This window comes from Homo sapiens, chromosome 8, assembly GCF_000001405.40.
Source record: "Homo sapiens chromosome 8, GRCh38.p14 Primary Assembly".
Lineage (NCBI taxonomy): Eukaryota > Metazoa > Chordata > Mammalia > Primates > Hominidae > Homo > Homo sapiens.
The window spans coordinates 31,477,968-31,496,076 of record NC_000008.11 but is presented as its reverse complement, the minus strand read 5'-3'; the positions used below and the strand labels follow the sequence as shown (position 1 = coordinate 31,496,076).

Below are 18,109 nucleotides of genomic sequence, written 5' to 3'. Positions count from 1 at the left end.
ATCCTTAGACACTAGAGAAATGCCAAAGAAAATCACAATGAGATACCACTTCACATCTACTAGGATGGCCATAATTTAAGAAACAGATAATAACAAGTATCCATGGGGACACTTGTGGGAATATAAAATGGTATCATCACTCTGGAAAACAGGTCTAACAGTCCCTCAGATTAAATATAGAATAACTTTATGATGCAGCAATTCTACTCCTAGTTACATACCCAGCAGAAATGAAATTATTAATATATGTCCACATAAAAACTTGGTACATGAATGTATATTACAGCACTGTTCCTAACAGACAAAAAGTGGAAACCATTAAATATCAAGTGATGAATGGAAAAGAAACGTGTTATATCCATACAATGGAATATTATTCAGCAATAAAAAGAAATGAAGTACTGATATGTACTGTAACATGGATGAACCTTGAAAATATTATGCTAAGTGAGAGGAACCAGACACAAAAACCACATATTATTTGGTGCTATTTATATGAAATATTCAGCACAGGAAAATCTATAGAGAAAAGTAGAATAGTGGTTGCCTAGGGCTGGAGATGTTAGGGAGGAGGAGATTGGGATTGACTGCTAATGAGTCCCAAGTTTCTTTATTAGGGTGTTAAAAATGTTCTAAAATGTATTGTGGTGGTGGCTATCAGAGTAGCAGGAGGCAGCCAAATACCTAGGCAGATAGGGGTGGCTCCATGGTGAAACCCCACCTCCGAGCCAAAGAGCTTAAAGCCTGAAAACCAAGCTGCAAGTTAAATCCTCAGACTGACTTGAGAACTTGTTTTCCTGTTTGTCATGCTTTCTGTGATTGATCCTCACCCTTCATCTATTTTACATATACCTACCCTTTCCTAATTGGTCTTCTACACTCTCATGCCCACGTCTGAGTGGTGTCTTTGTTTTAACCTTTTTTGCATACTCACAAACCAATCAGCATGCACTCTCCATTCTGAGTCCATAAAAGACCCCAGACCCAGCCACATGGGGCGGCAGGTTGGGGGGCCTTCCCACCTTCAGGTAGGGGAACCACCCCCTTCCCCACATACACTCTCCACTGAGAGTTTTCATTTCGCTTAATTAATTCTACTCCACTCACTCTCTGGTGTCCACGTGCCTAATTCTTCCTGGTCATTTGACAAGAACTCAGACCTAGCTGAGCTAAGGAACACAAAGAGTCTATCAGTTACATAATTGTAAATATACTAAAAACCATTAAATTATACATTTTAAAGGAAATGTATGATGGTATATGAATTATATCTCAAAGCTGTTACTTTTTTATAAAGGAACAAAAAAATGTATATACAGTCCAAACAACATCTAATTTTTAAAAAACCTAAAATTTCTGCCATATCCTCCGTATGCTCTTCGTTTTTTTCTAACTCCTATATGAAACATAGGAGTTATGCATACATTCTGAACATTAATCCTTTGTTGGTTAAAAGTATTGCAAATTTCTTTCAATTTGATGCTTATTTTTTACAAAATTTAAAGTATCTTTGAACGAAGAAAAGGCCTTAATTTTTTAAATCTAATTTAAAATTAGACTGTTTAAATCTAATTTAAAATTAGACTGTTTAAATCTAATTTAAAATTAGACTGTTTAAATCTAATTTAAAATTAGACTGTTTAAATCTAATTTAAAATTAGTCTGTTTAAATCTAATTTAAAATTAGACTGTTTAAATCTAATTTAAAATTAGACTGTTTAAATCTAATTTAAAATTAGACTGTTTAAATCTAATTTAAAATTAGATTGTTTAAATCTAATTTATCAGCCTTTCCATTTTGACATTATGCTACATGTGATTGCTTAAGAAATTTTCCCCTACCCTGTAAAATATTCTTAAACATTTATTCTCTAAATATTTTAAAGTTTTGTTTTTCACATCTAAATCCTAAATCTGCCTGGAATTGAATTTCATATATGATGTGAAGTAGAGATCCAATTATAAATTTTCTATATAAATAATCATTGTACCAGGTGACTTAATAAAAGAATTATTTGCTCACTAATATTCAATGCTACCTTTTCAAAATATTTAATTTCCCTAAATTAACATGTCAATTTCTGAACTTTCTGTTCTATTCCATTGATCTACATAATCATCCATTCTTAATTATAGCAGCATTATTATAAGCCCCTTGATTTTGTTTCTTTAAGCATATGTTGGCTATTCTTGGCCGTTTGTTCTTCCATGTATATATTAGAATCAGCTTGTCTAATCTCATAAAAATTAGTGTTTGGGATTTTTATTAAATTGCATTAGACTATATATCAATTTGGAAAGAATTTGGACCTTTATGCTATTGTGTCTCCCTATGATCTGTCTCTCTTCTTTAACATTGTTGAATAAAGTTTTCTGGATTTTCTTCTTTGAGGTCTTGCACATCTTTATTTGATTTATTACTAGGACCTTAATATATTTTACTGCTCTTGTAAATAATATATTTTAAAATATATTTCCTAATCTTTCATCCTTGTGTATAGATTTGCAATTGAGATTTATATTTTGTATATCCAATACTGTCACTAAGCTTTCATACTAATTCAAATAGTTTTCCTGTATGTTGTAGAGGACTTTCTGTGAAGTTAATTTTATCAATTATAAGTAATGACAAAAAAAGTCTTCCGCTCATATTCCAATATATTTTTGTTTTCTTGTCTTCCTGAGCATTCTGAGACCTCCAATATAATACTAAAAAAGAAAAAAGAGGAAGACTGGGAGAGCAAGAAAAAGAGAGAAAAAAGCAAAAAATAAAAACATATGCATGTCTGTCATGTTTCATTTTAAAAGGAGTGTTTCTACTATTTAATCTTCAAGCATGATGTTTGCTGTAGGCTTTTAGTAAAAATGGTTTTTCAGGTTGAAAACTTTTCCTTCTACTCTGAACTTCCTGATAATTTTTATCATTAATGCATAGAGAAGTTTTCCTCCATCTACTACAATATTTGTATATTTTTTCTTTAGTATCTTCTATTTTTAATGTGATATGTTACATTTAATGTTAAATCAACTTTGCCATTTCAGTGATGTTTTAAATTTTTATGGGAATTCAAACAATAAACCTGTGCCCATGTGCATTAGAATTTTTTTGATGTTGTGTAGCAGTCTCAAGTAACCTAGTAGAAAAATGAATCAAAGACCATAATAAACTATAGCAATAGTTTATTAACCGTAAAAGGTTAACTTTTAAGGAATACCAACTTTTAATATCCTTAAAAATTCACTCAAGAAGCAATCATAAGACAATTTTATTTTACCACGAAAAAAGGAAATTTATAAACATTTTGGTCAATGTTTGACCAAAATTAACTCCACAAAGAACTTACATTTCATCAACAATTCAAGGCCCTTTGGGATTACCCAGCAGTTTCCTCTTATAAGCCAAGAGAATCGCTGCTCTGGTCACAGTCTACACTCTACCAGCCATATCTATTTACCCTCTCCTTACTAAAGCAAAACCTCTGCTTCTCAAATTTTGAATTGCTTTATATTTCCAGACATTTTCTTTTTGGAAAACTCTTTTTTCTTCCTTCAAACTACTACTTAAAATTTTTCATAACGTTTTTCTTCTCTGAATGTCTCTCTCTGATTCAATTATCCTACACTTTTTATGAAACTATTCTTATTCTTCAACTATTATTTCTAGTCATTGGTAATGTATTACATTTTGATAATAATTGTGTAAAATACATAAATAGCATGATGTCTGACACATAAATTGCATTTGATATATACTAATTATCTAGTTAAATTCTTTTCCCCATTAAATGCAAGCTAGTCACATGCTATGTACAGCATTCACACTTCCCTATACAGAACTATTTTGTTTTGCATGTAATTAACATTCTGTAATATGTCCAAAAGCTATTAATCCTCTCCCCCTCAACCACTATGAATATACCATACATTCTTCTCTCACAGTGCTCTGCTTTGCAGCGTACATTTTTTTCCTATTCATTGTTGCAATTTCTACTAGTAAATTGGCCTCTTTCTTATACTTGATCAGAGTATAAGGTGTTAGACTACATGTTGGACTACAAGCATCTTGTAATTAGAGCCAAGACTTACATCTGATAACGAATTATCATTCATGCTCAATAAACTTACATTTCAGGTTGCCAGTGAATGGGGAATTTGCTGCCAAGTGTTTTTGGAGCAATGTTTTGAATCTTCTACCAGATACAGACATAATAAAATTAGCATTTGAAAATGCTTTCTGTATTTCTACAGAAAGTAAAATCAATGCTAATAAAAGAAAAAGAAATGAGTATTACCAATTAAAGCCTTTAATAAAATAAAAACTCTAAAAGTGACAGAGGATAGTTAAATAATGTGAACTACTGTCTGAAATAAGTGACCTCATAACCTGATTTTCAAACTCTAAGTAAAACCAAGGGCATATGACATCTTTAGGCCATTTCCTGTGCATATATTCTAATATGGTTTGGATTTGTGTCCCCACCAATATTTCATGTCAAATTATAATCCCCAATGTTGGAGGAGGGACCTGTTGGGAGGTGACTAGATCATGGGGGCTGATTTCCCCCTTGCTGTTCTCATGATAGTGAGTGAGTTCTCATGAGATCTGGTTGTTTAAAAATGTGTACTATTGGGAAGGTGGTTCCAAGATGGCCAAATAGAAACAGCTCCAGTCTACAGCTCCCAGTGTGAGCAACGCAGAAGACGGATGATTTCTGCATTTCCAACTAAGGTGCTGGGTTCATCTCACTGGGGCTCGTCAGTCAGTGGGGGCAGAACAGTGGGTGCAGCACACCAAGTGTGAGCCAAAGCAGGGCGAGGCATTGCCTCACCCGGGAAGCACAAGGGGTCAGGGAATTCCCTTTCCTAGCCAAGGAAAAGGGTGACAGACAGCACCTGGAAAATCGGGTCACTCACACCCTAATGTGTCCGGAATTGGTGGGTTCTTAGTCTCACTGACTTCAAGAATGAAGCCGCGGACCTTCACGGTGAGTGTTACAGCTCTTAAGGTGGATCGTCTGGAGTCTGTTCCTTCTGATGTTCGGATGTGTTCAGAGTTTCTTCCTTCTGGTGGGTTCGTGGTCTCTTTGGCTCAGGAGTGAAGCTGCAGACCTTTGCGGTGAGTGTTACGGGTCTTAAGGTGGCGCGTCTGGAGTTGTTCATTCCTCCCGGTGGGTTCATGGTCTTGCTGGCTTCAGGAGTGAAGCTGCAGACCTTCACAGTGAGTGTTACAGCTCATAAAGGCAGTGTGTACCCAAAGATTGAGCAGCAGCAAGATTTATTTCAAAGAGCGAAAGAACAAAGCTTCCACAGTGTGGAAGGGGACCCCAGCCGGTTGCCACTGCTGGCTCGGGCAGCCTGCTTTTATTCTCTTATCTGGCCCCACCCACATCCTGCTGATTGGTCCATTTTACAGAGAGCCGAGTGGTCTGTTTTGACAGGGTGCTGATTGGTGTGTTTAAAATCCCTGAGCTGGACACAAAGGTTCTCCAAGTCCCCACCAGAGTAGCTAGATACAGAGTGTCGATTGGTGTTATTTACAATCTCTTAGCTAGACATAAAAGTTTTCCAAGTCCCCACCAGAGTAGCTAGACACAGAGTGTCGATTGGTGTATTCACAAAACCTGAGCTAGACACAGGGTGCTGATTGGTGTGTTTACAAACCTTGAGCTAGAGACAGAGTGCTGATTGGTGTATTTACAATCCCTTAGCTAGACATAAAGGTTCTCCAAGTTCCCACTAGACACAGGAGCCCAGCTGGCCTCACCCAGTGGATCTCGCACTGGGGCTGCTGGTGGAGCTGCCTGCCAGTCCTGTGCTGTGCGCCCACACTCCTCAGCCCTTGGGTGGTCGATGGGACTGGGCACCATGGAGCAGTGGGCAGCGCTCGTCGGGGAGGCTCAGGCTGCACAGGAGCCCGTGGGGGTGGGGGCGGGACTCAGGCATGGCGGGCTGCAGGTCCCGAGCCCTGCCCCACAGGAAGGCAGCTAAGGCCTGGAGAGAAATCGAGCACAGCACTGGTGGGCTGGCACTGCTGGGGGACCCAGCACACCCTGCGCAGCCGCTGGTCCGGGTGCTAAGCTCCTCATTCCCCAGGGCTGGCAGGGCCAGGTGGCCACTCTGAGAGGGCCCTCTGGCAGGGCCCACCAAGCCCATGCCCACCCAGAACTCCAGCTGGCCCGTAAGCACCCTGTGCAGCCCTGGTTGCCGCTCGCACCTCTCCTTCCACACCTCCCTGCAAGCTGAGGGAGCCGGCTCCAGCCTTGGCCAGCCCAGAAAGGGGCTCCCACAGTGCAGCGGTGGGCTGAAGGGCTCCTCAAGTGCTGCCAAAGTGGGAGCCCAGGCAGAGGAGGTGCTGAGAGCAAGCGAGGGCTGTGAGGGCTGCCAGCATGCTGTCACCTCTCACTAATATTGCCCTTTTCCAACGGTCTTAGCAAACGGCACACCAGGAGATTATATCCCACACATGGCTCAGAGGGTCCCATGCCCACGGAGCCCCCTTCATTGCTAGCACAGCAGTCTGAGATCAAACTGCAAGGCTGCAGTGAGGCTGGGGGTGGGGCGCCCACCATTGCTGAGGCTTGAGCAGGTAAACAAAGCAGCCAGGAAGCTCGAACTGGGTGGAGCTCACCGCAGCTCAAGGAGGCCTGCCTGCCTCTGTAGATGCCACCTCTGGGGGCAGGGCACAGCCAAACAAAAGGCAGCAGAAACCTCTGCAGACTTAAATGTCCCTGTCTGACAGCTTTGAAGAGAGTAGTGGTTCTCCCAGAATGGAGTTTGAGATCTGAGAACAGACAGACTGCCTCCTCAAGTGGGTCCCTGAACCCTGAGTAGCCTAACTGGGAGACACTCCCCAGTAGGGGCAGACTGACACCTCACACAGCCAGGTACCCCTCTGAGATGAAGCTTCCAGAGGAACAATCAAGCAGCAACATTTGCTGTTCAGCAATATTCACTGTTCTGCAGCCTCCACTGCTGATATCCAGGCAAACAGGGTCTGGAGTGGACCTCCAGTAAACTCCAACAGACCTGCAGCTGAGGACCCTAACTGTTAGAAGGAAAACTAAGAAACAGAAAGGACATCCACACCAAAACCCCATCTGTACGTCACCATCATCAAAGACCAAAGGTAGATAAAACCACAAAGATGGGGAAAAAACAGAGCAGAAACGCTGAAAATTCTAAAAATCAGAGCGCCTCTCCCTCTCCAAAGGAACACAGTTCCTCACCAGCAATGGAACAAAGCTGGATGGAGAATGACTTTGACGAGTTGAAAGAAGAAGGCTTCAGAAGATCAAACTTCTCCAAGCTAAAGGAGGAAGTTAGAACGCATTGCAAAAAAAGCTAAAAACCTTGAAAAAAGATTAGACGAATGGCTAACTAGAATAACCAATGTAGAGGAGTCCTTAAATGACGTGATGGAGCTGAAAAACATGGCATGAGAACTATGTAATGAATGCACAAGCTTCAGTAGCTGATTCGATCAACTGGAACAAAGGATATCAGTGACTGAGGATCAAATGAATGAAATGAAGTGAGAAGAGAAGTCTAGAGAAAAAAGAGTAAAAAGAAACAAACAAAGCCTTCAAGAAATATGGGACTATGTGAAAAGACCAAATCTACATCTGATTGGTGTACCTGAAAGTGATGGGGAGAATGGAACCAAGTTGGAAAACACTCTGCAGGGTATTATCCAGGAGAACTTCCCCAACCTAGCAAGGCAGGCCAACATTCAAATTCAGGAAATACAGAGAACGCCACAAAGATACTCCTTGAGAAGAGCAACTCCAAGAAACGTAATTGTCAGATTCACCAAAGTTGAAATGAAGGAAAAAATGTTAAGGGCAGCCAGAGAGAAAGGTCGGGTTGCCCACAAAGGGAAACCCTTCAGACTAACAGTAGATCTCTTGGCAGAAACTCTAGAAGCCAGAAGAGAGTGGGGCCAATATTCAACATTCTTAAAGAAAAGAATTTTCAAACCAGAATTTCATATCCAGCCAAACTAAGCTTCATAAGTGAAGGAGAAACAGAATTCTTTACAGAGAAGCAAATGCTGAGAGATTTTGTCACCACCAGGCCTGCCCTAAAAGAGCTCCTGAAGGAAGCACTAAACATGGAAAGGAACAACTGGTACCAGCGACTGCAAAAACATGACAAATTGTAAAGACCACTGATGCTAGGAAGAAACTGCATTAACTAACAAGCAAAATAGCCAGCTAACATCATAATGACAGAATCAAATTCACACATAACAATATTAACCTTAAATGTAAATGGGATAAATGTACCAATTATAAGACACAGACTGGCAAATTGGATAAAGAGTCAAGACCCATCAGTGTGCTGTATTCAGGAGACCCAGCTCACATGCAGAGACACACATAGACTCAAAATAAAGGGATGGAGGAAGATCAACCAAGCAAATGGAAAACAAAAAAAGGCAGGGGTTGCAATCCTAGTCTCTGATAAAACAGACTTTAAACCAATAAAGATCAAAAGAGACAAAGAAGGTCATTACATAATGGTAAAGGGATCAATTCAACAAGAAGAGCTAACTATCTTAAATATATATGCACCCAATACAGGAGCACCCAGATACATAAAGCAAGTCCTTAGAGACCTACAAAGAGACTTAGACTCCCACACAATAATAATGAGAGAATTTAACACCCCACTGTCAACATTAGACAGATCAACGAGACAGAAAGTTAACAAGGATATCCAGGAGTTGAACTCAGCTCTGCACCAAGTGGACCTAATAGACATCTAAAGAACTCTCCACCCCAAATCACCTTTAAATGGGACACATTTAAAGCAGTGTAGAGGGAAATTTATAACACTAAATGCCCACAAGAGAAAGCAGGAAAGATCTAAAATTGACACCGTAACATCACAATTAAAAGAACTAGAGAAGCAAGAGAACACACATTCAAAAGCTAGCAGACGGCAAGAAATAACTAAGATCAGAGAAGAACTGAAGGAAATACAGATACAAAAAAAACCCTTCAAAAAATCAATGAATCCAGCAGCTGGTTTTTTGAAAAGATCAACAAAATTGATAGACAGCTAGCAAGAATAATAAAGAAGAAAAGAGAGAAGAATCAAATGGACTCAATAAAAAATGATAAAGGGGATATCACCACCAATCCCGCAGAAATACAAACTACCATCAGAGAATACTATAAACACTTCTATGTAAATAAACTAGAAAATCTAGAAGAAATGGAAAAATTCCTGGACACATACACCCTCCCAAAACTAAACCAGGAAGAAGTTGAATCCCTGAATAGATCAATAACAGGCTCTGAAATTAAGGCAATAATTAATAGCCTACCAACCAAAAGAAGTCCAGGACCAGATGGATTCACAGCCGAATTCTACCAGAGGTACAAGGAGGAGCTGGTACCCTTCCTTCTGAAACTATTCCAATCAATAGAAAAAGAGAGAATCCTCCCTAACTCATTTCATGAGGCCAGCATTATCCTGATACCAAAGCCTGGCAGAGACACAACAAAAAAAGAGAATTTTAGACCAACATCCCAGATGAACATTTGTGCAAAAATCCTCAATAAAATACTGGCAAACCTAATCCAGCAGCACATCAAAAAGCTTATCCACCATGATCACCTGGGCTTCATCCTTGGGATGCGAGGATGGTTCAACATATGCAAATCAATAAATGTAATCCAGCATACAAACAGAACCAAAGACAAAAACCACATGATTATCTCAATAGATGAAGAAAAGCCCTTTGACAAAATTCAACAGCCCTTCATGCTAAAAACTTTCAATAAATTAGGTATTGATGGGGTGTATCTCAAAAAAACAAGAGCTATTTATGACAAACCCACAGCCAATATCATACTGAATGGACAAAAACTCAAAGCATTCCCTTTGAAAACTGGCACAACACAGGGATGCCCTCCCTCACCACTCCTATTCAACATAATAACAGGCAGGAGAAAGAAATAAAGGTTATTCAGTTAGGAAAAGAGGAAGTCAAATTGTCCCTGTTTGCAGATGACATGATTGTATATTTAGAAAACCCCATTGTCTCAGCCCAAAATCTCCTTCAGTTGATAAGCAACTTCAGCAAAGTCTCAGGATACAAAATCAATGTGCAAAAATCACAAGCATTCTTACACACCAATAACAGACAAACAGAGAGCCAAATCATGAGTGAACTCCCATTCACAATTGCTTCAAAGAGAATAAAATACCTAGGAATCCAATTTACAAGGGATGTGAAGGACCTCTTCAAGAACTACAAACCACTGCTCAATGAAATAAAAGAGGATACAAACGAATGGAAGAAAATTCCATGCTCATGGGTAGGAAGAATCAATATCATGAAAATGGCCTTACTGCCCAAGGTAATTTATAGATTCAATGACATCCCCATCAAGCTACCAATGACTTGCTTCACAGAATTGGAAAAAACTACTTTAAAGTTCATATGGAATCTGAAAAGAGCTCACATTGCCAAGACAATCCTAAGCCAAAAGAACAAAGCTGGAGGCATCACACTACCTGACTTCAAACTATACTACAAGGCTACAGTAACCAAAACAGCAGGTAGTGGTAACAAAACAGAGATATACACCAATGGAACAGAACAGAGCCCTCAGAAATAATACCACACATCTACAACCATCTGATCTTTGACAATCCTGACAAAAACAAGAAATGGGGAAACAATTCCCTATTTAACAAATGGTGCTGGGAAAACTGGCTAGCCATATGTAGAAAGCTGAAACTGGATCCCTTCCTTATACCTTACACAAAAATTAATTCAAGATGGATTAAAGACTTACATGTTAGACCTAAAACCATAAAAACCCTAGGAGAAAACCTAGGCAATACCATTCAGGACATAGGCATGGTCAAGGACTTCATGTCTAAAACACCAAAAGCAATGGCAACAAAAGCCAAAATTGACAAATGAGATCTAATTAAACTAAAGGGCTTCTGCACGGCAAAAGAAACTACCATCAGAGTGAACAGACAACCTACAGAATGGGAGAAAATTTTTGCAATCTACTTATCTGACAAAGGGCTAATATCCAAAATCTACAAAGAACTCAAACAAATTTACAAGAAAAAAACAAACAACCCCATCAAAAAGTGGACGAAGGATATGAACAGACACTTCTCAAAAGAAGACATTTATGCAGCCAACAGACACATGAAAAAATGCTCATCATCACTGGCCATCCGAGAAATGCAAATCAAAACCACAATCAGATACCATCTCACACCAGTTAGAATGGCAATCATTAAAAAGTCAGGAAACAACAGGTGCTGGAGATGATGTAGAGAAATAGGAACACTTTTACACTGTTGGTGAGACGGTAAACTAGTTCAACCATTGTAGAAGACAGTGTGGCGATTCCTCAGGGATCTAGAACTAGAAATATCATTTGACCCAGCCATCCCATTACTGGGTATATACCCAAAGGATTAGAAGTCATGCTGCTATAAAGACACATGCACACGTATGTTTATTGCGGCACTATTCACAATAGCGAAGACTTGGAACCAACCCAAATGTCCATCAATGATAGACTGGATTAAGAAAATGTGGCACATATACACCATGGAATACTATGCAGCCATAAAAATGGATGAGTTCATGTCCTTTGTAAGGACATGGATGAAGCTGGAAACCATCATTCTCAGAAAACTATCACAAGGACAAAAAAAAACAAACACCGCATGTTCTCACTCATAGGTGGGAATTGAACAATGAGAACACTTGGACACAGGAAGGGGAACATCACACACCAGGGCCTGTCATGGGGTGGGGGAGGGGGGAGGGAAAGCATTAGGAGATATACCTAATGTAAATGACGAGGTAATAGGTGCAGCACACCAACATGGCACATGTATACATATGTAACAAACCTGCACATTGTGCATATGTACCCTAGAACTTAAAGTATAATAAAAAAAAAAAGAAAAAGAAAAATACTGGAATAAGATTGCCAAATTAGATACAAAGCTTAAAAAAAAAAAAGTGTGCACCATCTCCCCCTTCTCTCTCTTCCTCCTGCTCTGGTCATGTAAGACGTCCCTACTTCCCCTTCACTTTCCACCATGATTAAAAGTTTCCTGAGGCCTCCCCAGCCATGCTACCCAAACAGCCTATGAAACCATGAGGCAATTAAACCTCTTTTCTTTATAAATTACCTAGTCTCCGATATTTCTTTATAGCAATGTAAGAATGGACTAATATACATTCAAAGAGAAATAATAAAGTTGAGAAAAAAAGAGTAGCATATTAGCATGCAGAGCAGAAAAACTAGTAATTTTTAAAGTAAATAGTTTAAAGACGACTTGTAATTTTTTACCTAAAGATTGGCTTTCCCACCCTCCCATATCATCTCCTTTCTTGTGTTTTCTCTCATGAGCCATTAGCCTACCAGGTACTAAATGCCTTTGGGGGGATTTTTATCAAATATGCCACTGTCAGGAGTCAGCCTTCTCTACCTACTCTATAATACATCCCTATGAATTATTCTTGTCTACCTCACTACAAGTTCAAACTGTATATTGATGATCTGTGGGCTTCCAATACCTCTGTTTCAGCAGCTTCCAGTCCTGTTAGTGAGATGCAGAGGGGATTGGAGGGGGCCAGAAGCCTTCTCCATTCATGGGTGTTTGACCTCAAGCCCTTCACTCTCCTGGGCCTCAGTGCCTTCACCTGAAAATTAGGAACTTATACTAATCAATGCTAGAGTCCCTGAACTGTACCTGCTATAAGCCAATGAGCAGAAATTGGTACAAGAAGAGAGATTTTTGATATGAAAAAAATTAAATGAAACATCCATATTCTTTCATGCTAAGTAGTTCTCCATGTTAACCTCTACATTTATATTCTTAATTCCCTGGGCCTTCTTAGCCCTGCCAATTTTCTTATTATGAAGCCAATTGGCAATTACAGGTATTTCCTGTAGTCACATAATCCCAAACTCTCAGTTTTCTCTAATTATTATTAGAGTACCAAACAATAGGAACACTAAAGTTACTATTTTCTGTATTGGAGATTCTGAAATCAGTTTATAACTTACTTACATGTGACAGCTGTGAGTTTCTTCTTATGAAAATATATTTTGGCTCTAAATAGGGTAAAACACCAAATAGCAATGTTTCAGTCCAGGTCTGTAGAGAGATGTATAATTTATTATAGAGATTTGACTGGGTACAATCATGAGAGCTGGTTGCACAGTAAGGATACTAAAAATTGACCACTCTGGCATTATGGGAGGCAGTGGGTGACCTTGACAAGAGTGATTTCAGTGAAATGGCAAGGATGAAACTATAATTGCAATGAGCTTCAGGAAGTACGCAATGCAAAGAAATGGAGATGTGAATATAAGTAACAATTTCAAGGAATTTGGCTGTAGAGTAACAGAAAAATGAGACATATACTGGAGGTGAATGTGGATTAAGGGAGTTTTGTTTTGCTTTCAAAGAAAGAAAATATTGCATGTTTATGCAAAAGACCATGTAAATAGTAAAAATTGCCACTGCAGGATGAAGAGCCAACTGCAGAATGAGCTACTTGAAAATATCAGAGGATGAGAGGTAGTGTATAAGTCAAGGGCTTGTCTTACATGGGAGTAGATAATCAATTGCAGCAAGAGGGAAGGTGGAGTATGTGGGTACAGATGAGATCTCTGCTCCAACCACTTGTCTACATCACCTAAATACATCCTTCAAGTTTCAGCTCAAATGTAATTTATTCCAGGAAGTATTCCCTGCCCCCTTAACTGGGGTCCACTGACCTTATCTGTGCACCTCTACCCTCCTGACATAGGGCATAATACTTCACTTTTAATGATGCAATAACATGGTCCTGTTAAACTGGGTAGCTAATCACACATGAGCAGGGCAGGAGAGGGCCCTCCCAACCCCCCCATACACACACCAGCTGACCATCAGGTGATGATCAAGTGGTTGTTTACTGTGTCTCTAAAATAATAATTAGTTGCAGCCTGTGCCAGGGAAAGGCAGTCTCACAATACATAGGAAAAATCTGAAACTGGTGATCAGCCGCTTCCCCCTAAGATTTCAGGAATTGGGCGAGTGGGCTCAAGCATGAGCACTAAGAGGCAAAACAGCAGAGCTTAACTGGTACATCACTTTCCCCTAGGAATGCTAGACCGGGAAGGGAAGAACCACTCTAGGGAGCATGCGTACAACTCCAGTAAACACACTGCGCCTACGGCCTCTCCCAAACGCTAGTAGGCCACTGCGCATACAGACGGCGCACCCTCCAGGGAAAAATCAGGAAATCAGGGACACAAGACCCCAGAAGTATGCCAATATACTAAACCGTAAGTCAAGGTCAAACAGCGCACTTGGTCTCTCAAGTCACCTGCTTGGCCCTCTTCCAAGTGTACTTTCCTTTCTTTCATTCCTGCTCTCTAAAGCTTTTAAATAAACTTTCACTTCTGCTATAAAACTTGCCTCTGTCTCTCCTTCTGCCTCATGCCTCCTCCGTCGAATTCTTCTGAGGACGCAAGAGTTGAGGTTCCTGCAGACCCCTACGGATCCACTGCCACTAACAGTGCCTTTCCAGGTCCTTCTCACTCACAACTTGGTTCTTTTTTTTTTTTTTTTTTTTTTTTTTTGGAGAGTGAGTCTCGCTCTGTCGCCCAGGCTGGAGTGCAGTGGCGCGATCTCGGCTCACTGCAAGCTCCACCTCCCGGGTTCGCACCATTCTCCTGTCTCAGCCTCCAGAGTAGCTGGGACTACAGGCGCCCACCACCATGCCCGGCTAATTTTTGTATTTTTAGTAGAGACGGGGTTTCACCGTGTTAGCCAGGATGGTCTCAATCTCCTGACCTCATGATCCGACAGCCTTGGCCTCCCAAAGTGCTGGGATTACAGGCTTGAGCCACCGTGCCCGGCCACAGCTTGGTTCTTAGAGCTCCTTGTGCCTCAGCCCTAGCACAGGGTTGGTCCGTAAGAGACAACAGGTGTTACCAAAGAGGAAGAAAATTAATCAAGACAGAAGATATAAAGCACTTTGGGAGGCCAAGGAGGGCAGATCACGAGGTCAGGAGATCGAGACCATCCTGGCTAACACGGTGAAACCCCATCTCTACTAAAAATACAAAAAAAAAAAAAAAATTAGCCAGGCGTGGTGGCGGGCGCCTGTAGTCCCAGCTACTCGGGAGGCTGAGGCAGGAGAATGGCATGAACCCGGGAGGTGGAGCTTGTAGTGAGCCGGGATCGCACCACTGCACTCCAGCCTGGGCGACAGAGCGAGACTCTGTCTCAAAAAAAAAAGAAATAGGAAAAAATAAAGGAAACCATGTCACCATTCACTGAAGACTCCATTCAGATAGAAACCATCCCAGGATTTGTATTCCAAAGATGCAGAAATCATGAAAACTAAATTTGTAAAAACTAAATAGACGTGAGATACAGTAAAGCCTGCTGAAAGAGAATGTGTCACACTTTGGTATTAAGCTGACTTCAAATTCAATTTCAGAGCACCAGACTTCAAAAAAATAAATTTAAAAGTATCTCACAAAAATATTACTCAAAAGTAACTGTGGTGCTCAAGCAAACGATTTTGGATCATTTTTCAATACCATGCTTGTTTGCAGAGAATCAAAAGCAATGTTATCTTGTCATCTGTTCTCCAGATTTTCTTCCCTAGTCATTCTTCTGCCTTTCCTATCACCTTCATTTAAAAACAATCAAATGTGCTGTCACAGACACTAAATTATAACTTTAGGTTCAAAACAAGTAATGAGGAACTCTCTAAAAAAAAAAAAAAAGGAACTCTCTCTCTAAAAAAAGAGAGAGAGAAAGTACATCACCACTGACTGCATGCAATGTGAAAAATGAAGCAATAGAAATGGGCTAGAATTTTCTCTTGGGTACCCTCCCTTAATATAAAATTGTAACCAGCCAACAGATTCTTCCTGCACTGCATAGACAAAACCAACTCAGGAGACCACAGCATTGCAATGAAGAAGGAGTTTAATTGACACAAGGCCAGCCACACCATGTGGGAGACAGAGTAATAACTCAAACCGATCTCCCAGAAAATTCGGAGGCTATGGTTTTTCAATAATAGTTTGGTGGGCCAGGGAGTCCGCTTCTGGGTGGGGCCACAGGACTGGTCAGAGGGCGTGGGGAGGTCCAGGTGAAGCTATTGGTCATCAGAAATGCAAACACCTGAAAAAACATCTCAAAAGGCCAATCTTAGTTCCAGAGATGTTATCTGCAGCAATAATTGGGGGATTTGCAAATCTTGTGACTTCTGGAATCATGGTGGGTAATCCTTTAGGTCAACACCTGAGCAGAATTCAGATTGCTCATCCTCCTAACCTGGTTGTCTTTTATCAGCTGTACCAAGGTGGTTTAGTTTGGGAGAAGGGCTATTATCATTTAAACTACAAAATAAATGTCTTTCGAAGTTAGCGTGGCCTGAGCCCAGGAGTGATGAAGGGCAGTTGGAAGGTTAAAAGGCAAGATGGGAGTTAGTTAGACAGATCTCCTCACTGTCATAGTTTCCTCACTGTTTTAATTTTTGCAAAGGCAGTTTCAGAATTGGCTTTGCAATCTGCAAGAAGACGTGGGTTCTGCAATAAATAAGCAATCCTAAATCTCTCTTGCTTCTCCTAAGAGGGATACTACACTCCAAGCCCAGAAAACCTGCTTCCTCTGAATTCCTCCTGGGGCAGAAACCAGGCCTCAGACTTTGGGCAAAGAATACAGAATTATGCATCTGACTCGTGTTTTTTGGAGGCCATCAAGTAGTAGCTTCCCTTCCTCCCCCACCATCCCCACCTGGCTCTTACCTAAAATCCTTCCAGTAAATATTTCTTTCTTACTATTTCAGAAGTCAGAATTTCTCTGTGCCAGTGTTTCCTAAACATGCCCAACTATCTGAGTCACCTGGTATGCTCTCTAAAATACAGATTCTCCCAGGACTCTCCCTTGGAGATTATGAATCAATAGGTCTGGGACAGAGCCCAGGCTGCTCCATTAAAATGCAAATGCCCCAGAGGAGAGATAATAGCTTAAGCTCTTGTTTTATTCATTTCATTTATACCTCCTGTCTTTTAAAGACTTTGAAGTGGCTAGTCACAAGGTGGCCTAAAAGTAACTTCACAAGATTCACAGTGTGACAGGAGGCATCCCAAGCTGTCACTGTCCTACTGGGTAACCACAGAAGCATTGTGCACCTCAACATGCCCCCACAGTGTGAGCAGGAAGGAAGAACTCCAGGCCAGAAATCAAGCAACAGTGGAATCCACTCTCAGCCTCTTCATCATTAGTTGTTTGTAAACTTTGTAGCTTATTTAAGATTCTGGGCTAATTTTTTTTAACTATAAAGTGTTGAATTTGATGATATTGGAGGGTGGCTGCCTACCTTATATGCAGAACAGGTGCATTCATCCTGACCCCTCTCATGAGGCTTCTAGGAAAAAGTTGCTAAATCTGATGGGTAACTATTCCCTTAGGGACCCTTCTCTGAGCAAATGCAAGAATGAAACTTTCCATTTTGTCATTTGTTACAGATTTAATTTTGTTCCCCCAAAAGACATGAAAGTTCTAACCCCCAGTATCTCAGAATGTGACCTTATTTAGAAATAGTCATTGAAAATGTAACAAAGTTAAGATGAGGTCATAATGAATTAGGGTGAACTCAATTCCAATATTGGGTGTGCTTCTAAGAAGAGGAAAATTTGGACACAGAGACACTAGGAAGATGACCACATGAAGATGGAGGCAGAAATTGGAGCGAGGCATCTATAAGCCAAAGAACATCAGCTACAGCCTGCAACCACCAGAAACTAGAAAGAGGCAATGGAGGAATTTCCCTAGAGCCTTCAGATAGAGTATGGCCCTACCAACACCTTGATTTCAGATTTCTAACCTCTAGAACTGGAAGAAAATAAATTTATGTTGTTTTAAGCCACTCAGCTTGTGATACCTTTATAGCCGCCCTAGGAAACACCAACTACCTATTAAAATATAAGCACAGAATTGTGATGCTTAGAACTATATTTTACTTAGAGCTAACACTCATCTGTTTAGAGGTCCCACCTCTTTAAAAAAAAGAAAAAAGAAAAACAGAAAAAAA

The 18,109-nt window shown here is 40.4% G+C and overlaps 1 annotated feature.

Annotated features, from left to right (window-relative positions):
* Positions 16,587–17,418: an enhancer, noted in NCBI's record as "OCT4-NANOG-H3K27ac hESC enhancer chr8:31336175-31337006 (GRCh37/hg19 assembly coordinates)". NCBI's record gives its function as "activates a minimal SCP1, AML or CMV promoter by ChIP-STARR-seq in primed H9 embryonic stem cells {active_cell/tissue: H9 hESC(primed)}" and the evidence as "EXISTENCE:reporter gene assay evidence [ECO:0000049][PMID:30033119]".